The sequence below is a fragment of the Homo sapiens genome, chromosome 5, assembly GCF_000001405.40.
Source record: "Homo sapiens chromosome 5, GRCh38.p14 Primary Assembly".
In the NCBI taxonomy this organism is placed as follows: domain Eukaryota; kingdom Metazoa; phylum Chordata; class Mammalia; order Primates; family Hominidae; genus Homo; species Homo sapiens.
In genome coordinates this window covers 147239329-147261149 of record NC_000005.10, presented here as the reverse complement: position 1 = coordinate 147261149, position 21821 = coordinate 147239329, and the positions used below count along the sequence as shown (strand labels likewise).

At 39.8% G+C, this 21821-nt stretch overlaps 1 protein-coding gene across 7 annotated transcripts in view; it reads right to left on the bottom strand.

The window, feature by feature from the left end:
* Positions 1-21821, bottom strand: part of STK32A (serine/threonine kinase 32A) — a 166965-nt gene that overhangs the window by 140841 nt on the left and 4303 nt on the right. For all 7 annotated transcript variants that reach the window (XM_011537577.3, NM_001112724.2, NM_001287740.2 and 4 more), the window contains exon 2: positions 21464-21611. In XM_011537577.3, the coding sequence (XP_011535879.1) occupies positions 21464-21515 (52 nt within the window). In that variant the 5' untranslated portion in view covers positions 21516-21611. The remainder of the gene's footprint in view (positions 1-21463; positions 21612-21821) is intronic.

The following is a 21821-nucleotide window of genomic DNA, read 5'->3' as shown; positions in this document are numbered from 1 at the left end:
GGTTGTCTCTCCTGAGGAGGTGCACCCCGTCCCCTTGTGGCAGCCTCAGGGGTGAGAAATCAAGACCCACCCAGTGCGAGGAATAACCCAAGCTCTCAGCAAGGCGGGAAAAAAAGAAAGTGGCCAGCAACCTAGCTTAAAGGATCCTCACATACTGCGGCAACGACTCTGCGCACAGACCAAGGAAGGAGAAGCCGCGGCAGCCGGTAAAGTGCTTCCTTGGTGGTCAAATTCTGGAGGGTTAAATGTGTGTGTGTGCATGAATGATCACAAACGACCTGCTTGCAGTGTTGTTTGTGTGGATGGTGACATCCTACTGCTGGACGGAGTGAGTGGGTCCTCTCTGCGGTTCCCTAGCTGCCTCATATGGCTTAGGGCGTATCCCGCCATGGGCCTGCCAACACTAAGAGGGGCCTGATTCTGCCTTAGGGGAGCGGCCAGAGAGGACAGAACGAGTGGGAAGTGTGTAAAGGACCATCAGAGTGGGGGAAACAGGTCAACCTCCCGGGACCAGCAAGGCAAGCCACCCCCTGGTTTGAGGGGTTGAGCCTTCCAGGACAGGGAAGACACCCCTTGGTTTGAGGAGTTGAGCCTTCGAGGACAGGCAAGGCGAGACATCCCTGGTTTGAGGGGTTGAAACTTCCGCTAATTTCAAGAGTTGAACCTCACATAAACCCCCCCTTTCTTCTTGGGGGAAGAAAGAGTAGCTCTACTCCCACCGGTCGCTCCCTTAGGGAAAGAGGAAGGAGAGGGGAGAACAGCAGCATAAGCAGCTGGCAGAGGCAAGGAAAGACCAGCAGAGAGAGAGAGTGAGACAGATAGAGACGGAGAAGAGAGAGAGAGAGAGAGAGAGACAGGCGAGAGAGAGAGACAGAGAGGGGAGAGGGAGAGAGAGGAGAGAGAGAGAGACAGAGACAGAGAGGAGAGAGAGAGAGAGGAGAGAGAGAGGAGAGAGAGAGGAGAGAGAGAGGAGAGAGAGAGAGAGACAGAGAGGAGAGAGACAGGAGAGAGAGACAGAGAAGAGAGAGAGAGGGACAGAGAGGAGACAGAGACAGAGACAGAGGAGAGCGAGAGACAGGAGAGAGGGGAGAGAGAGAGAGGAGAGACAGGAGAGAGAAAGAGAGAGGACAAAGAGACAGAGGAGAGAGAAAGAGAGAGAGGACAAAGAGACACAGAGAGGAGAGAGAGAGACAGAGAGGAGAGAGAGAGAGACAGCCAGGAGTGAGAGACAAGAGGGGAGAGAGAGAGAGGAGAGAGAAAGAGAGAGACAGGAGAGAGAGACAGAAGAGAGGGAGAGAGGAGAGAGACAGAGGAGAGAGAAACAAGAGAGAGAGAGAAACAGGACAGAGACAGAGAAGAGAGAGACAGAGAGGAGAGAGGCAGAGAGAGAGAAAGAGAGGCAGAGCTACAAAGAGGGAGTCAGAAAGAAAGAGACAGAAAGTCAGAGAGGGAAAGAAAGAGATAGAAGTAGTAAAGAAAAAACAGTGTACCCTATTCCTTAGTTAATGGGTGCAGCACACCAACGTGGCACATGTATAAATATGTAACAAACCTGCACGTTGTGCACATGTACCCTAGGACTTAAAGTATAATAATAAAAAAAAAAAAGCCAGGGTAAATTTAAAACCTATAACTGATAATCGAAGGTCTTCTCGGTGACCCTATAACACTCCAGTACCACCTTGTTGTAAGTATAAACAAGGGCATAGCCTGAAAGCACTGAGGCCACTGACAACCAGTAGCCTTCCTATCAAAAATCCTTAACCCAGTAACCCGCGGATGGCCCGAATACATTCAATCTGTAGCCGCAACTGCTTTGCTAACAGAAGGAAGTAGAAAAGTAACTTTTAGAGGAAACCTCATTGTGAGCACACCTCACCAGTTCAGAACTACCCTAAGTCAAAAAATATATAAAAAGTGAAAATGTAGCTTACTAACTGAAAAATCTTAAAGTATGGGGCTATTCTGTTAGAAAAAGATGATTTAACATTAACCACTGAAAATTCCCTTAACCCAGCAGGTTTCCTAACAGGGGATCTAAATCCCTTCAGGACAGGTTCCTCCCGGGTGATTGAGGGAAAAAGACACAATGAGTATTCAGGAAGTGATAAGGAAACACTTGTAGAAGCAGAGTTAGGAAAACTGCCTAATAATTGGTCTGTTCAAACGTGAGAGCTGTTTGCACTCAGCCAAGCCTTAAAGTACTTACAGAATAATAATAATAATAAAAAAAAGCCATCTATACCAATTCTGAGTTAATTTTGACTAAACAAGGTCTTATTAATAGCAAAGAATAATTGAAATCCCAAACTTAGAAGGTTTTCAACAAAAGTAAATTTAGCTAAAAGTTAACAGTGTAACATGTATTATCCTAACTTCAAATCTTGTGGCCTTAGACAGTCTTGTCCACAGACATAAAGGAAGTTGGCTTTGGAGAAGAATGATTATCTTAAAAAAAAAAAAGGAGAGGGAGAATTTATGTAAAAAGAATGTTATATAGTAAATTCTTGTCCTAAAATAAATTAACTAGTTGTTTAAAGAAAGGGATGTTTACAACAAGTCAGAAAGTTGAGGCATGTCAAAGAATTGTCTGTGAAAGTTGTGAAGGAAAAAAAAGTTTTAAAAGGGAATTTATGTAAGAAATGTTGTATAATTTAAAAGTAATTAAGCCTCCTGAATGTAAAGCTATTGAAGAAACAGTTTATGTGCAAGGTGTATAAGGAAAGTAAAATATGCCTTTGGTAAAAGGATTATAAGGAGCCATAAGAATGTGGATTTTTACCTACATTAAAAGTTTAAAAATAAACAAATATTTTGTTTTAAAGGTTTAAGCAAGTTTTGAAATGTTAATTATAAAGGAAATTCTGTGTGTAAACATATTGGCTAAAGTTTAAGGGGTATCATACAGTTTTTCTGTGAACTGGACATTAAAATAAAAGCACAACAGGTATTTCTTAAAGCACTAACCTGCTCTTTAACAAAAATTATAAAAGGTTAAAAAGAGTCTATAAGAATCATACATTATGGTCAGACATTAAAAATTGGATAAATATGTCTACAAAGTTTTATTAAAATTAAGTTTAACAACTTGCTAATATAAAGGTGAAACTTAGCTTATCTGGTATAAGAATCATACAGGAAGCACTGTTAAATATAAAATGGTGTTTGGCCTTCTTTGGTCTAAAATCTAATAAAAATAGGTGCTAAAGGAAATTTCTCAGTAAAAAGGCACCAAGGACTATAAAGTCCACTGCTGATGTCCCCACATTTAAAACAAAAGGTCCATTTCTTAGAAATTATATACTTGGTTTATCTTCCATTTTCCTTTCCCTCAAAACTAAAAGTCTTTTAGCACAGGTACCACCCCTAGAATTTCCGGTAAACCAACACCAGCCTGAAGATCACGTTCTTATCAAAGGGTGGAAAGAAGGAAAACTCGAGCCAGCCTGGGAAGGACCCTACCTTGTGCTGCTCACCACCAAGACTGCTGTTTCTACAGTGAAAAAGGGATGGACTCATCACACCCGAGTCAAGAAAGCGCTGCCCCCTCCAGAGTTGTGGGCCACAGCCCCAGGGGAAAGCCCTGCCAAACTAAAGCTAAGAAAAATTTAACTCTCTTTTATCTATTCTATTACTCTTTCTTCTTTACTGGCTCTATTGCTGACCATCTAGTTATTAACATAACCAAGTCAATTTTGCCTCAAACTATTGCACTTAATGCTTGCCTTGTTATACCCTGTGGGGATTTGCCAAGTCAAAGACACCTCTCTATTTCAGAAAAAATACCTCTGTGCCTCCTGACTGTCATCAGACTGGGCATTAGTGAATTGGGACCATTTAATCCGGGGAAATTTCAATAAAGACCCCAATGTCAACCCAGAGTCCTACCCCCCGCCCCGCCCCCGACGTAGAGCTTTTATGCTGTAGTTGGTCCAATGTTCTGTGGACCACTAAATAGCAAGAAGGGATTGCCCCAACCAGTTTTTGTAATTTACTAAAACCATACACTCATTTTACTAAAGAGACAGCCCTCCCCCCAGCTGTCAGCTAAACCTATACAGGTTATTATCTATAATTCTCTACAGGTTATTATCTCAAACTCTCAAATTTCTTCCCCTTTTCTAAGCCAGTTCCCTTCTTTAAGTCAGTTTTATGCTATAGGGGCTGAGGTTTCAGGGACAAACCCTATTAGATTATTTAAAATGCATTTCTTTGATCCCCACCGCCTGCACCTTCCTGTAAGCCTTCTTCCAAAACCTCTCACAACGGAACAGTTGCTCCTCCTCCATCTAACAACAAGACCAAGATAGCTATTGTAAAAACTAAAGACTTAAAACAGGTCAGGCTCGGTGGCTCACGCCTGTAATCCCAGCACTTTGGGAGGCCGAGGCAGGGGGATCACCTGAGGTTGGGAGTTCAAGACCAGCCTGACCAACATGGAGAAACCACCGTCTCTACTAAAAATACAAACTTAGCCAGGCATGGTGGTGCATGCCTGTAATCCCAGCTACTCGGGAGGCTGAGACAGGAGAATTGCTTGAACCTGGGAAGCAGAGGTTGCAGTGAGCCAAGATTGCGCCATTGCACTCCAGCCTGGGCAACAAGAGCGAAACTCCGTCTCAAAAAACAAAACAAAACAACAAAAAAACAAAGACTTAAAGCAAACTTTGGCAACTAAGACAGGATACCAAGATGCAAATGCCTGGTTAGAATGGATCAAGTATTCCAGATTGTCCCCTTTCCACTAGGGTGGTCCTCCAGTCAACCAGGCATGGGCTGCATGGTAGCTCTTTTCCAGGATTCTACAGCCTGGAGTAATAAGTCGTTCCAAGCTCTCTCTCTGCTATATCCCGAAGTCTGGTACCCTGCAGGTCAGCCCCCAAGGGCCATCCAGCTTCTGTCTCCCAACACTAGTTCACTTAGTGTCTCTCATGACAGGGAGGAAACTTAGTGTTCCTTGGAGACCTGAAGGGATGCAGTGAGCTTAAGAATTTTCAAGAGCTTATCAATCAGTCAGCCCTTATTCATCCCCGAGCGGATGTGTGGATGTGTGGTGGTATTGTGGTGGACCTTTACTGGACACTCTGCCAAATAACTGGAGTGGCACTTGTGCTTTAGTCCAATTGGCTATCCCTTTCACCCTGACATTTCATCAACCAAAGGAAGGAAAAATAAGACATCGTAAAGCGAGAGAAGCCCCTTATGGGTCTTTCAACTCTCACGTCTATTTAGACACAATTAGGGTCCCATGAGGAATACCAGATCAATTTAAAGCCCAAAATCAAATAGCCGCAGGATTTAAGTCAATATTTTGGTGAGTGACAATTAATAAAAATGTAGATTGGATAAACTACAGCTACTACAACCAACAGTGATTTATTAACTACACTAGAGATGCTGTTAATGGAATAGCTGAGCAATTAGGGGCTACTAGCCAGATGGCTTGGCAAAATAAAATAGCCTTAGACATGATAGTAGCAGAAAGAGGGGTAGTTTGCATCATAATTAAAACTCAATGTTGCACCTTCATCCCAAACAACACTGCCCCTAATGGAAGTATTAGAAAGGCACTGCATGGTCTGACTGCTCTATCCAATAAGTTAGCCAGCAACTCAGGGGTAAATGACCCCTTTATAAGATGGCTAGAAAAGTAGTTTGGTAAATGAGAAGGAATAATAGCCTCAATTCTTACTTCCCTCGCAGCCGTAATAGGTGGACTTATTCTTGTCGGGTGCTGTGTCATACTGTGCATCCGTAAGTAGATGCAGAGGCTCATAAAAATGTCACTTACTGAAACCTCCCTTAACTAACCTCCACCTTATCCAGAGAAGCTTCTTCTTTTGGAAAATGAAGCAAAACTACTAAGCCAAGGCATATTAAAAAAAAGTTTGAAAAGAAAGCTGTAAGGAAATACAAGGGGAGGGATTGTTAGATATGAGTTCTAAATTTCTTTTCAAAGACTTAATATGTCAGTATGTTCAATTCTTTGCCTTCTACTTTTTTGTTTTGTTTTTGAGGTGGAGTCTCTGTCGCCCAGGCTGGCATGCAATGGCAGGATCTCGCCTCACTGCAAGCTCCGCCTCCTGGGTTCATGCCATTCTCCCGCCTCAGCCTCCTGAGTAGCTGGGACTACAGGTGCCTGCCACCACGCCCAGCTAATTTTTTTGTATTTTTAGTAGAGACGGGGTTTCACCGTGTTAGCCAGGATGGTCTGCATCTCCTGACCTCGTGATCCGCCCACCTCTGCCTCCCAAAGTGCTGGGATTACAGGCGTGAGCCACCGCGCCCAGCCTGCCTTCTACTTTTAAACGTAACTTCCTCATAAAGCAACCTTTTTGATTGCTCCACCCTGACTCATTCAGATCACCTGCTCCACCCTAACTCAGTCCGATTACCTGCTATCTGCTCTGCCCTGACTCTGCCAAAGCCCTCACCCCGTCATTCTCTTTAAATTAGCCAATCAGAATTAGGTTAGCCTGTGTGGTCTAACCCTAGCCAATAGGGGAACGACACAGGAGCAGGGGCCACGTGCGTGGGGGATAAGAACCCCTTCTCCTCCCTTGTCCAAGTGTGCGCCCACCATTATTCTATCTGTAAGGGTGCACCCTTCTATATAGAAGTACGTTGCCTTGCTGAGAATTAAAAAGAAAATGTTATATTCGAGTGCTATTCCTTTTGCAGCACTGAAACTTTATATATAACATTCAGAAACCTAATAATAAAGCACTTGGGAACCCTTAGTATGTAAAGCAAAGTGCTAGGCATTTAACCTGCATTATTTCGTATAATCCTTATTAGCCCCAAAATACAAGTGAAGCACTAAGACTTGAAAAGAGTATGTAACCTGCTCAAGCTCATAGAGCTGGTAAGAGTTGAAGAAGCAGTCAAACCAAAGGTGTCTCCCAAAAAGATAGGTTGAAGTCCTAACCCCTAGTATGTCAGACTGTGAAATTTATTTGAGAATGGGGTTGTTGCAGATATAACATGTTCGGTTAAGATGGTACAGTATCAAAATGGAGTAGAGTGGGCCCTGAATCCGGTATGGCTGGTGTCCTTAGAAGGAAAATTTGCACACAGACACAGATTTGAGAAAGTACTCAAGCAGGGAAAGAGAGTAGTTTTTAAGATCTATGAAGAGAGGGTTCTAGAATTCCATGATATCTACTTGTGCCATGCTTAGCACTTGGAGGAGGGAGACCAAGAAAAAGTTTCTGCTGTGAATTATTTTTGTCCTTAACTGAATCTGCCAGCCATTGAAATTCTTTGCTATCAGTACATTTTGAATGAAAATAAAATGATATACGTTTGCCTTCTAAGCACTCCCTCCTCCAGTATGGATAAGCAAAAGCTCTGGCATGTTCAGTAGTGCTATATGGGCCATCAACTAAGGCACAGTCCTGACTCTAATCATTAGCTGACTCCAGGGATCCTTCTTGAAATTATTCTGAAGGAAGTACAAACATTATTTTTCACCATCATGTAAGGATAAATGCAGGCTGGGCATGGTGGCTTATGCCTGTAATCCCAGCACCTTGAGAGGCTGAGGTGGGTGGATCACTTGAGATCAGGAGTTCAAGACCAGCCTGGCCAACATGGTGAAACCCCCATCTCTACCAAAAAAATGCAAAAATTAGCCGGGCGTGGTAGTGCGTACAGAAAAAGAGCCAGCTTTGAGTAAATCGTACAGAAACCTCCACAGCAATTCAACTGACTATATTTGTTTTTTAAATAATATTCATACTGAAAATTAATCCTACCTAAATAAACCAACCAAACTGCTTTAGATATTATTAATTGTAGAGATGATTTAAACACTCCAAAAGAAATATTCTTCTCTTCCCTCATGCCACAAATTTTTTTTCAGGATCAAAGGATTATTGCAGAGATGATTTAAATACTCCAAAAGAAATATTCATCTCTTCCCTCATGCCAAAAAATTTTTTTCAGGATCAAAGGATTATCAAAAGTTACAAAATTGCAATCTAAGAGAACTCAACTGTATTTTCACATTTAAATATGTTTAAAATGGTATGTATATTTAAGCAAATTATATTTATGTTTTAGAATTGTACAACTGCTAAATTATTCAAGAAAATCAACAAATTTCAAGGAATTGACGTAAACTACCTATGGTGAAAATGAGGATACAAAAGTATATTGAATATCATCCCAGATATATCAAGTGTCTTTTATACACATACACAGATTAAAAATAGATCATTAATGCATTCACTTAATCAACAAAGTAGGTGCTAAGGATACAAAAGTGAACAAAATAGCAAAAATCCCTGGCCCTCATGGAGTTCACTTTCTAGTGAGAGGAAAAACATAATTAACAAATAATTAAGTAAATTTAAACAAGAAATATAGTGAAAAACATAGTGGGTAGGAGGGATGAGGGCTGCTAGAATGGAGATGGGGTTGCAAATGAAAACAGCCAAAAATATTAGCAGTGGTTATCACTGGGCTGAGGCATGATGGGTAATTCTTTCTTCTTGATTTTTATTTTATGAGCTTTCTACAACTCATTTGCATTCCTTCTATAATTGTAAATCTTGCTTTTAACTATGCATTTAAATACGCATTTCCTAAGAATAGCTGCAATGAAGTTCATCTACCTTTATATCAGATACCACCACAAATGTTAATGATAGGATATTTCAGGACTATATGACAGCCTCGATATCATATCAGGACTACCAGAAAACCCACTGAGGAAAGCAATCAGGCCAATTCTAGTTATTGATTAGGAACATAAGACTTAAACAGAAGATCTTTTTAATACCTCAAGCCTTATTTTAGAGCCTTTTCCCTGGTATGTTATACTCTGGACAGAAAATGAAGAAGTTATCAAAGTGGCAAAAACTTCAATATTTTATAAAAATAAATAAAAATTATCCCACAAGGTATCATATTAATTAAGTTGACCTAAAAAATGTTGAAGAGTGAGCAGTGACAATGATGATGACAATGATGATGAAATAAATTGTTTTTGTTTTTGGTGAGACAGGGTCTTGCTCTGTTGCCCAGGCTAGTGTGCAGTGGTGCAATTACAGCTCACCGTAGCCTTGATCTCCTGCCACCATACCCAACTAATTAAAAAAAAAATGGTAGAGATGGAGTCTCACCATGTTGCCCAGGCTGGTTGTGAACTCCTGGGCTCCAGCGATCCACCTGCCTCAGCCTCCCAAAGTGTTGGGATTAGAGGTGTGATCCACTTCACCTGGCTCATAATGAATTGTTAAATACATGGATAAAGGCCATTGGAATTGTTGTCCTTAAAATCCAAATGGGTAGAAGAAGCTAAGCAAAGCTCAAGAGTGGTGCTGAACTGGATGATTAACTCCAGGGAAGAAAAGGTGCTCTAGATGGAACCCCCCAATACTTCATTAATAATGTGGTCTAAGGCATATGCATGTGAGTTACGGCAGAAGCGAAGATGAATGTCACTGTGAAATGAAATTGTTTTTAGCTCTCTGAAAGTAAGATTTAGAGTTAGGCACATAATGGGTGTTTGATGTATTCTTGCTGAAGAGCAATTCCCAATGTTTGTTTTTGAAATTTTATATATGCATTCTGGTTGGCCATCCTGGGAAGATAGCTATAACTGAAAAAATGGTATTCATTTTAGATCAAGATTCCGGATCTACCCATGTGACTGTCTGACTTAAGGTCAGTGGCTTAATCTTCCTGTGCCTCTGTCCAGTCCTGCTATGTTTAAATTGTAGACTGATCGAATGATAAAATGCATTATGGTTGTTCGACAATCTCTGCCAACACTCCCTAACAAGAATGTTACTGGATAGTAAAGTACATTTTCACATCATTTGCTTCCAAATTGAACTCCCTGAGGTACTCAATATCTGGATATGGAGGTGGGTGTTGATGAGAGCCTAAGAGACAGTTAGAATTTGGAGACAGCAAGTGCAGAGCATTAAAACCCAAAGGTGATGTCCTTCTGGATATAAGGCCCTGTGCGTCTAGCCTGCTCCATGCTGATGAGCCAGTCCTGGTTCCTGGCCACCCAATTTAATAGATTTATATTACATGCTCTAGTACCTCATCTTAAAAAAATCCATTATATTACATTTAGCTGAATTATATTAGGCATCATCTCTTTGTTTATTTCTCCGCTTCCTTTTAGACCAAACTTCTTGAAGCTTGTCTATACTTGCCATATCTGCATTCTTTTTTTTTTTTTTTTTTTTGAGATGGAGTCTTGCTCTGTTGCCCAGGCTGGAGTGCAGTGACACCATCTCGGCTCACTGCCAGCTCCACCTCCCGGGTTCACGCCATTCTCCTGCCTCAGCCTCCCGAGTAGCTGGGACTACAGGCACCCGCCACCAGGCCCGGCTAATTTTTTTGTATTTTTAGTAGAGATGGGGTTTCACAGTGTTAGCCAGGATGGTCTCGATCTCCTGACCTTGTGATCTGCTCACCTCGGCCTCCCAAAGTGCTGGGATTACAGGCGTGAGCCACCGCACTGGGCCCATATCTGCATTCTTATCTTCCATCTACTCCTAACTCATTCTAGTCTGGCTCAGGCCTCCACACTCCACTAAACTGCTTTTGTGAATACCAACATCCTCCATGTTGCCTACTCCCATAGATTTTTCTCACCGACTTAGTCACACAGAAGCATTCAACATAAGTGAACTACAACAAGAGTAGTGTTGAACTGGATGATCAACTATCTCTTTCCTTCCACTTTCCATAGCTAGATTGCTATCCACTGCCTTGTTTCTAAATATTAGGATTCCTCTTCTCCTTGGTCTCCACACTGTCTCTCAGAGCAGACTTAGCCATCCCCGTAGAATTAATACCCGTGTCTTTCTGTCTCCATCCCAGATGTTTCCACTCATTGCTGGATACTCTACTCCAGCTCCTACTTGGCACCATCATTTAGCTGTCCCATAATCACTGTATGCCTCCAAAAGTGAACTCTAGACTGTATGTGAGCAGGGTCCCAAACCCCTCCGTTCCCACGCATCTCCATCTTAGTAAAATGTCACAGTCATCCACATAACTACTCAAGCAAAAACCTAGGATTTATCCTTGATTTTGTTCTTTCCATCTTACCCCACATTCAAGCCATCAGTAACACCTAATTATTTTATATTGAAAATAAATGTTGAATAAACTCTCAGCTTTCCGTCTGCACTGCCACACTGTGAGTCCAGATACTATCATCTTTCACTGAAATGAAGATGAGGCCACTTTTTTTTTTTTTTTTTTTTTTTTGAGACAGAGGCTTACTCTGTTGCCCAGGCTGGAGTGCAGTAGATCTCGGCTCACTGAATCCTCCACCTCCTGGGTTCAAGGGATTCTCCTGCCTCAGCCTCCTGAGTAGCTGGGATTACAGGTGCCCACCACCATGCCAGGCTAATTTTTGTATTTTTAGTAGAGTCAAGGTTTCACCATGTTGGCCAGGCTGGTCTTGAACTCCTGACCTCAGGCGATCCACCCCCCTCGGCCTCCCAAAGTGCTGGGATTGCAGGCGTGAACCACTGCACCCAGCACAATAGGCCACTTTTGATTTTTTTTCATCCCAGCAACTTAAATGAGTTCTCTACATAGCACTTATGGAAAATTACAATGATAAATTCAGATTTCACAGATCAGAAAATTCGGTCTCTGCCTCCCACCCCCCAGAAAACTAGGGAAGAAAAGGGAGATCAATATCGGGTGACTTTTGTTCTTTTATTTGCCAAGTAAAGGCATTGGAAACCATGATGATTATATAATGATAGCAATAATAGCTAACATTTATTGAGCAATTACTGTGTGCCAGTCACCAGCTAAGCATTTTACCTGGACAATTTTTTTATTCTCACAAAAACTATGAGACAGATACTATTATTAGCCCCCTTCTACATATGAGAAAATGGGGGATCAGAGAGGTAAGTCACTTACCTAGGTTCTCACTATAAAAAAAAAATTCTATTTCCACAATCCATAAATACTAAGCATACACACATACAAAAAATGACATAATCTTAAAATTAAATTTTAATAGGTTTAATAAGTTTATGGGATGCTTATTACATTGTCCTAATTTTTCTCTTCCACCATAGACTAAGAAAAGCTTTGTCGTAGTTGCTACTTGTCCACAGAGAGTGACTGGGAACCACTGATTTAATCTGTAGCCCTCTGATGCCATGATATTAGTTAAGGTTGAAGATCAGTTCTAGAGCCTATCACTTAGGATCCACTAATAAAAAAAAATTACTTCATCATTTCAAATGGTTGGCAGCAAATGGTTGCCACTAACACTTGAAGAGCTTGGTGGGTCCTTTAAGAATATAATTGGAGCTTCTCCAGGGAAGTAGTCTCCAAGGCCAATTGATGGCAGCTGTTTGCACTGTCAGCACTTCCCTTTTATAAAACACGTGCCCCAGGAAGTCTGGGATTTATCCATTCCTGGTGCCAAAACCAAGCAATGGGCAGCAACAGCTTCTTTTCCTGTTGCTGGATCCCGATTCATGGATTTGCTCAGAAGTCAGAAATATATTGACAATTTCTTTCAAACAAATTGCAAAGTAGAACAGTGGGGCAGGATGGGGGGATCAACATCAACTGTTGGATGCTCCTCAATCGAATAAATGTCTTTAGTAGGAAGCAAATTCTGCCTAGTCATATTTTAAATGCGTTACAGGTTGTAACCATTTAATTGAATTTAGGTTGTGTGGCCATTAAATAATATATCTTACAAAAATAGCATATTTTACCCTCAAACACACTAGATTTATTGGCCCAAGTATTTCCACTGGCTCACACAGATCAACTGAATGACAGGGAAGAATGAATTTATTAAGCATCTGCAAAGAACAGATTGTAGTCTTGGTGTAAGGCCAGGGTATTATGAGGGGATATCAGAAATCTCCTAGGGCATATGAAGAAATGTCTGCAAGATGCTTAGAGCAGGAGTCAGCAAAATAAGCCCCATGGGCCAAATCTAACTCACTATCTATTTTTGTATAGCTCATGAACTAAGAATGGTTTTTACACTTTTTTTTTTTTTTTTTTTTGAGACGGAGTTTTGCTCTTGTTGCCCCGGCTGGAGTGCAATGGTGCAATCTGGGCTCACCGCAACCTCTGCCTCCTGCATTCAAGCAATTCTCCTGCCTCAGCCTCCCGAGTAGCTGGGATTACAGGTAGGCCCCACCACACCCAGCTAATTTTGTATTTTTAATATAGACAGGGTTTCTCCATGTTGGTCAGGCTGGTCTCGAACTCGTGACCTCAGGTGATCTGCCCACCTCGGCCTCCCAAAGTGCTGGGATTACAGGCATGAGCCACCATGCCCGGCCAATTTTTACACTTTTTATTGATTGGAAAAAAATCAAAAGAATAATATTTGATCTTATGCAAAAAATATTTTTGAAATTCACATTTCAGTGTCCATAAATAAAGTTTTATTGGAACAAAGCCATGTTCATTTGTTTCTGCATTGTCTAAGTGTGCTTTTATGCTACAGTGGCAGAGTTGAGTAGTTGTGACAGAGACTGTATTACTTGGAAAGTGTAAAATATTTAGTATCAGGCCCATCACAGAAAAAGTTGCCAACTCTGCTTTAAGTAATTCTCGTAAATAACCAAAGGTATAGGTTACTCAAGTGTAAAACAAGGTTAATTTTGTTTATTTTACTATAAATATGCCTCCAGAAAGGACAGAAGACATAGTTTAGGAGGAAACAGAAAAGCCTATGCAAGGCTATTGGATTCAAAATCTATAGCCAGAAGTTTTCTAGTCCTTTTTGCCAATGTCCTGTTTTAACAAGAATGTTATTCCATGACTGGCTTTTTAATGTCTGTGTTTCCAAACGAAACTTCCATGAATGGTCACATAGTAATGCATAGTAGAAATCCGTGTATATTTCATGGGACCTGAGTTTGTGAATTGAGGGCTAACACTGGTCACTCTAATCGAGTTGACATTTGCAAGGCCATACAGCAGAAGTCAGCTCCCATGAAGGCCTGCACTCCCATTTTCTTTGAAGATAGTAGGCTTGAAGTGATAACCAAATTGTCTGAATAATGAAACTGGCTTGCAGATTTAATTTTTCAACCTAGGTAGTTGCAAGTTGAAAATTAAAAATGTCTATAGCTTTGGATAGTATAAAAAGTTACGGTAGCATGAGTGTTACTTAATAATCAGCAACTACTTCACAAGAATTTGTTCAGAAGACACTCTTTAACTAACATGTTCTTGAGTTTTAAAAAATCATAAAGAAGCAATGAATTTTCATCAAATCCAACTTGTACTTTAACTAGAAACATCCAACATCCCAGAATTAAACTGAGCTATCTTGTGTTGTACTCATTAAACCAAATAGATATAAATTATGCAACATAAAAACTTGTAAGGAAAAACTTACAGAGGAGCATAACCACTTTTGATCGTGTAATAAGAAAATTACATTTTTTCATATAAATCACATTACAAATATTTCACATGTAAAAATTTGTTGCCATTAAACCAGCAGGAAAAATAAATGGAAAGATGTTTCCAACAGATAAAGAGTAGATACGATTATAATCTTTCATTTCCCAAACTGAGATCCACAGAATATTATGAGCCACAGACATTAAAATGTTTTTCACAAAAATTATTTCATTTTGAAATAAATATTAAAAATAGCAGAAGACTGAGATTTCAATATTGTAGGTCATTTCAGAGACTTTAATATGCTAACAAACACTGGAAGCTCTAAAGGCAGGATGTGACTTTCCTAAATTTGTTTGAGTTGATTCTTCTAAACAAGTATTCATAAGTCACTGCTCAGGGAACACTCCAGTTGGAACCACTAGCTCAGTGTTTGTGGTCTGTTTTCTGGCTTTCTAGTTTGTTTCTCCAATCCCTTTGTATGGAGAAATAAAGCCCTTACAAATTAAAACCCTTGCCATAAATTGGACTTGAGGTTATTTATGACAAATGCCTTTACTAAATGTTAGGTTGTCCAAGATGACTTATTTTTTTAAGAAGCCAATTCTTGCTAGGGAAATTTTCCTTTAACTTTTCCAACCATTCTAATGCAAAATAATAAATACGAGACAGCATTACTCAAGGCTGCTAAGGGAAAGTCGGAAATTCATTTGCCTATTAAATTGAGTGCAAATAGACCATGATAGACAGTCAAATAACAAAAGAAATTTTCGATGTCCTTCATAGCTGGAATCAATTTAGCAACCTCCTATTTCTTTTGGATTGCAAATCTGTGGCCAATTTTCTTGGCCCAACATTTTAAAGGATCCCATTGCCTCTGTCACTGAAGATGCTGGAAAACTGGAAACAGCCACATATCCTAGGAGATGGTGTTGCCAAATAAAAGTAGAACACTGAGTTTTCAGCAAGTCCAAAGAATAATGCAATAATTGAACTCTCTGCAAACTCAGGGCATTGATGAACTCTTTAGAGCAGCTTTTTAAACTTAAGTCCAAATTTTCTTAGCTATAATATTCTAGAAGAAGGCTGTCTCTTGATTTAACTAAGCCAACTTTATCACCTTTACATTCTTTGTATAAACTTGGATACACATATTACTCATAATGACTGCAAGATTTTTTTTTGTTGCCTCAACTCTGAATTGTAAACAAGTCCACTCTCTCCTGTAAAAATTTCTTTTTTCTAAATCAGCCTGAAAACCTCAATAAGCAAAACCATACCAACCAACCACAAAAACAAACAAACAAAATCTAGTGCATTCAGATAGAGAAAATAAAGTAGATTTTTTAAAAAAGGTTGTAAGCATTAAAAAGAAGTGTTACTTGCACGTCTATTCTTTTATTTCAGAAAACAAAAAATGGTTTTCTGCATCATTAATTATTTCTCAGAATATCCATATGGTAGTTGAGAATGGGGGACAGTTTTCACTGAATCTGTTGATCAAATGGGATTACTTATTAGTCAGTTTGGGACTTAAATCAGACAAAGTAAACTTTAGTTATTTTCATCCCAATTAGTTCTTGATTTTGCCTTAAACAAAAATACAATAACCTCAGGGGGATAAAAAAGATATCAGATGAGATTATGTTTTTGTGCAGTCAATAACTTGGCTTCTTTTAAAGTGTTTTTATATAGGTTTTAACAGAATCCATAAAATCTGCCGTTCTGTTAATCCAGTCAATAGAAACATGAATAGGTCTAATTAACTGTGGAATCGACAGAGTTGCATTTAATTAATTTTGTTTTTCTCAGAACTTAAAGTACTTCAAAGAGTTCACACTAGGAAACTCTGATGTTAGTAAATAACACTTAATTAGCATTAATTGAGTGGTTACTTTATGGGAAATACTTTGCTAAGTGTTTTACTTGCATTATTTATTCAATCCTCACAAAGACCTAATGAAGTATGCCCAATTATTACCTGCATTTTACATACAAAGAAACTGAGGCTTACAAAGGTTAAATAAGTTTCCCCCTCAATTAATTCATTAGTAATTATTTAGGTTTGGAGACTTTTCTTGTGGTACCTCAAGTTTCCTTAGAACACCATATAATTAGTCAAACTGACTCCAGTGTCTGATAATGGTTGACCAGGCTATATCCTCTTTGACTCTTCTCATAGAAACATGTAGATTACTGGCACGTGGCACAGCTGAGACTTGAACCTGTGCATGCCTTTCCAATACTCTAGCCCATCATGCCAGGCTGTGTCCCATTACTAAAACACAAAGCATAATTAGGTAGAAGACAGTATGATGGTTCCTCAGAGAGTCAAACAAGGAATTATATGATCCAGTGCTTCCACTACTAGGTATATACCCAAAAGAATTGAAAACAGGGACTTGAACAGACATTTGCACACCAATGTTTATAGCAGCCTTATTCACAAAAATCAAAAGGTGAGGACAATCAATGTCAACTAATGAAAAGATAAACAAAATGTGGTATATCCATACAATGGAATACGACTCAGACTTAAAAAGAAAGAGAATCTTGACACATGCTGCAACATGGATGAACCTTAAAAATATATGCTAAATGAAATAAACCAGATGCAAAAGAACAAATCTTATATGTTCCATTTATATGAGGTACATAGAGTAGTTAAATTCATAGAGACATAAAGTCAAATGGTTGTTAACAGGGACTGGGGAGGGGATGGAATGTGGATGTTATTGTTTCAGAGGTACAAAGTTTCAATTCGAGAAGAGAAATGTTCTGAAGATGGGTAGTGGTGATGGTTGTATGATAACGTGAATGTGCTTAATGTCATAAACCGTATATTCTAAAATGATTAAATGGTACATTTTGTTATATACATTTTACCACAATAATAAAAAAAAAGTAATTAGGACTTAAGATTTGCCCTAAAACATAAAAGCTAAAACTGCAAAACAATAGTATAATTTGAGATCTAATTTATGAAAGATATCTTATATAATCAAATAAGCAAGCCGTTTTTTTTTGGACAGAGTCTTGCTCTGTTGCCAGGCTGGAGTGCAGTGGAGCAATCTCAGCTCACTGCAAACTTCACCTCCCAGGTTCAAGAGATTCTCCTGCCTCAGCCTCCTGAATAGCTGGGACTACAGGCGCACACTGGCATGCCCAGCTAATTTTTTTTGTATTTTTTAGTAGAGATGGGGTTTCACCATGTTGGCCAGGATGGTTTCGATCTCTTGACCTCGTGATCTGCCCGCCTCGGCCTCCTGAAGTGCTGGGATTACAGGCGTAAGCAACCATGCCTAGCCTGAAAATCTCCTACTTTGTTTTTGCTGAATAAAGATCAACATAAGTAACTAATAAAATTATGTGTTCAAGATCAGATATCAGATGGAACAACATGAAATACAAGTGTCAGGATGAATTCTGGCAAGAATAGCTTATCTCAAGGGACATCCAATAACCTCTTATCTTGCTCCTTAATTACCTTCAAAGTGAACAAAAACACTTTTTCCATAAGAGAGAATTCTTGAAACATTACTTGGGAAAATTATTGGTTAAATGTTTTTCTCATATCTATATATTGGAAATATTAAACAGTTTGAAGAAAATATTTTTAAAAATCTTTTAAAAAATCTTTTTAAAAATTTTAAAAAACTTTTTAAAAATCACATATTGGGATTCTTTTCAGCAATATTTTTTAAATAATTAAGTTGGCTCATTTTAGTGCCCTTGATACTGGCCCAGTTTGATTATACATTATGATTATGTATATAAAAATATGGATATCAAAAATGACATAAGCATTAATGTTGTTTGGTTAATCAGTGCTTTTTGGTTGCTTTTTCTTGGTCAGGAGCTTCACAGCAATCAGATACAATTTTACCTTGTGCTCAATCCAGATTTATGTGAAGAGTCAAATGAACTTTACAAAATGTACTGAATTTTAAAGCAAAGTAAATTCCCTAGAATGGCATACTTTTTCTCCTCAAATCAATCATCTTTTGAAGAAATAAGTTAACATGGCAATAAATGCAGTCTCTTTGGCAAACTAGTGCTCATGAGAGAACGTTAAGATATAGGCAACTGTTCAATCCTGATTTTGTCATTATTTGGATTTTGGACTTGTTTTTCCTGTTCTTGAACTATTCTTTTCATGTCATTTCATAGATGGCTTCTTCTCATCTTTCAGGCTTCAGCCCAAATGTCACCTCCTTAGAAAGACAACCGCAGCCACCCTATCTAAAGTGGCCTCCTCACCATCACTGTCACTGTCTGTAAGATCACTAGGAGTCATTTCCTTGGTGGCACTTTAAGGCACTGTGAAATTATCTGGTTTATGTATTATTTACCTTTTTATTGTCAGCCTTCCATCATCAGAACATGGGGTTCACAATGACAGAGCAAGGACCAACTTGTTTCCTCCTCTATTCTTCATGTCTAGAGAGTGACAGGTTTATAGTAGGTGGACTTGCCCTCCTACTTCCTTTGCCTTGCAACTGTCTGCATAAACAGACAGAGAGCCTAGCACCTTTGGGAGGCACAGACTTGTTGCTATGCTCAGATCTTTCCTTTATGGGTGCTGCAGTGGGTTCATCTCATTGGGCTGAGAAGCCAGACAACAGAAAAGGTGGTGACCTAGAGGGTGTTAAGAAAGACCTGTCTGGTCCCTAAGCCTAACTCTCCTTCAACCTAGTTTTTCTAGAGTCCTTTAAAGTAACTAAAAAGGGGTATCTTATTTCCCAATTGTCACAATTCTTTGGTTATGTAGCTTTCTTGGGCATCCCGCAAGAACAAAGCCTGGCTGAATCAAGGAAGAGTTATGCATTTCTGTGTTTTCTCATCATAATGCTATTCTACTACCTTCAAATGTAGCCCAGCAAGTTAAAAGTATGCAGCTGGCCTCTCTTTTCCACCCTATTCTCTGACGACCAGCCTCATGTACAACATTAGCTCTGAGTCCAGAGGAAGCAGAGGAAACCAACTAAATGAAAAGCAAGCCTATTTGTCTTTCCATTTTAGAGACAGAAAAATTAAGTAATATCACTAGTCTCTAGATCTTTGCTTTTACTATTTGATAAGTTAAAGCAAGGCAATCACAATAGCCATGAAAAAAAAGTTTTCTTAAGACCCCTTTCCAGCTATATAATTTCAAAGTTCCTATGAACTATTCTGTAGAAATAGTAAGAATGGGCCTCCAAACTGATAGTGAATAGCTTGAAACAAGGCGTCCTGATCAGCCATATATTTTGGGTTTTTTTGTTTGTTTGTTTGTTTGTTTGTTTTGAGATGGAGTCTCGCTCTGTCGCCCAGGCTGGAGTGCAGTGGCCGGTTCTCGGCTCACTGCAAGCTCCGCCTCCCGGGTTCCCGCCATTCTCCTGCCTCAGCCTCCCGAGTAGCTGGGACTACAGGCGTCCACCACCACGCCCGGCTAATTTTTTGTATTTTTTAGTAGAGACGGGGTTTCACCGTGTTAGCCAGGATGGTCTCGATCTCCTGACCTCGTGATCCGCCCGCCTCGGCCTCCCAAAGTGCTGGGATTACAGGCGTGAGCCACCGCGCCTGGCCCATATGTTGTTTTTAAAAGTATTTCCATCCCAAGATTCAAAACTAAGATTGTTTGCCCCAACTACAGCAGACGTAGTTGTCCCCAATCATGACAAACTCCTAATTCTTCTTTTCTTTTGTAATAAAACAGAACTCCTTATTTTTAGAAGGTTCATGGCCACCCAAGATAACAAACTGAATTTCCCAGTCTTTCTTGTATCTAGGTAAGTGGAAGTGAACGAAAGTGACAAGCCAGAGCAAATCCTATAAATAAGTGGGCATAACCTCTCCTACTTTCCACCTTTCTCACTGGCTGGAATTTGTTGTGTTGGTTAGCCACTCTGAGGGTACCACTCTAGAAATGGGAAGAGAGGGAAAAAGGCAAGTAGTTGGCGTCAGAGTCCCTAAGCTGCTGGAACCACACATCACCTGGATTACTTATGCCTAGATTGTCACATGAGAAAGATAAACATTTCCATTTGGCTTAAGCCACTGTTATTTGTAGTTTTCATTTCAGCAATCAAACTTGCATTCTAACCCAATAAACTTTCCTTGATGATTTAGAAGCTTCTTCAGAATTCACAAAGTTGCTTTAGGATCTCAAAATGATAAACTTCTTGAGTGGGAAGGAACCTATCTCCTCACTTTATTGATAACAAAATTGAAGATAGAGTCAGTAAATAAGCTGCTTGGGCCTAGCAAGTAACTGGTAGTAGGACTGGTGTCAGATTTCCTGAATTTCAGTCCATTCTTTTCCTCCCTGTTCCAATTAGCAGAGCTCTCTGGGAATTACTCGGAAGAGCTCCCTCTCAGAGGTCTGGACAACTTACTACCTGGGGCTTGGGGCATTTTTTTCCCCCAGACAACCTATAAACAGCTGCCACCTGCATACGCCAATGCTGTTCAGACTTAACATATAGGAAGGAAGAGGGACATGAGGAGGCATTGCCCAGTTCCAGCATGCCTCACTGATGGGAGAATCAGGAGGACTCATGCCTTTATTCTTGTCTTGCTGAGTCTGGCCTGGAAAGTTTCCCTTTTCTCCAATACAACTGATTCTTTTTTCTATGACGTAGCATTATGGGATTTGTCTAGTACACAAAAGCTTGGCAGTTGGAAATTCAGAAGGCACAGCTTCATTCTATAATATTATGAGCACTGGTTATCATTCATGTACATGTTGATAATGTATTTTCTGTAACAATGAGCAATGGGGGTAACTTCAACTGCCAAGGAACAGCACAGAGGACAAACAAATCATTTAACTATCCACCACATGCCCAACTGCAGCTCCCTTTGGACAAAGGACATTGGTATAGTGGAGATTAGGAAAGCTGCCAAAGGTCCCATGGAAAGTGGAAGGTAAAACCTAGCTATGAGCCTACAAAGTCCTCAGACTCACTCATGCAGCTTTGCCTTTTTCCTTCAAGGCCCTACAGACCATGCTTATGCTTAACTTATGAAACTAGAAGCATATACTTGAATTTTGCAAAATTCTATTTTTTATATGCCACTATCCCATATTTCTTACCATCTTCATTTTCATCAAACACTGGTGGTTTTCTTGAAGTGTTCGCTCCCATGGTTGAATCTGCCCAGACCTGGATCCTCGATTTATACTATCCGGGCAGAAACACCCATCTTCGCTCAAAACATGTCCCGAAGCCTTAGTTGGATATCTAGGATAGGAAAAGAAATAGTACCCTAATAATATGCTATACTCTAGGCACCCTGAGTATAGACTGTGGCGGAAACATAAACCTCATCTGTATCACTGTAGTGAAAACTTTTGTGTTTGAAAACCAACCATGATTTCAGAATAAAAACATCAAGCAACAGGAGAAAACACTGCATGGCTCATCAATAGCAGACCTAGACTTACAAAATGG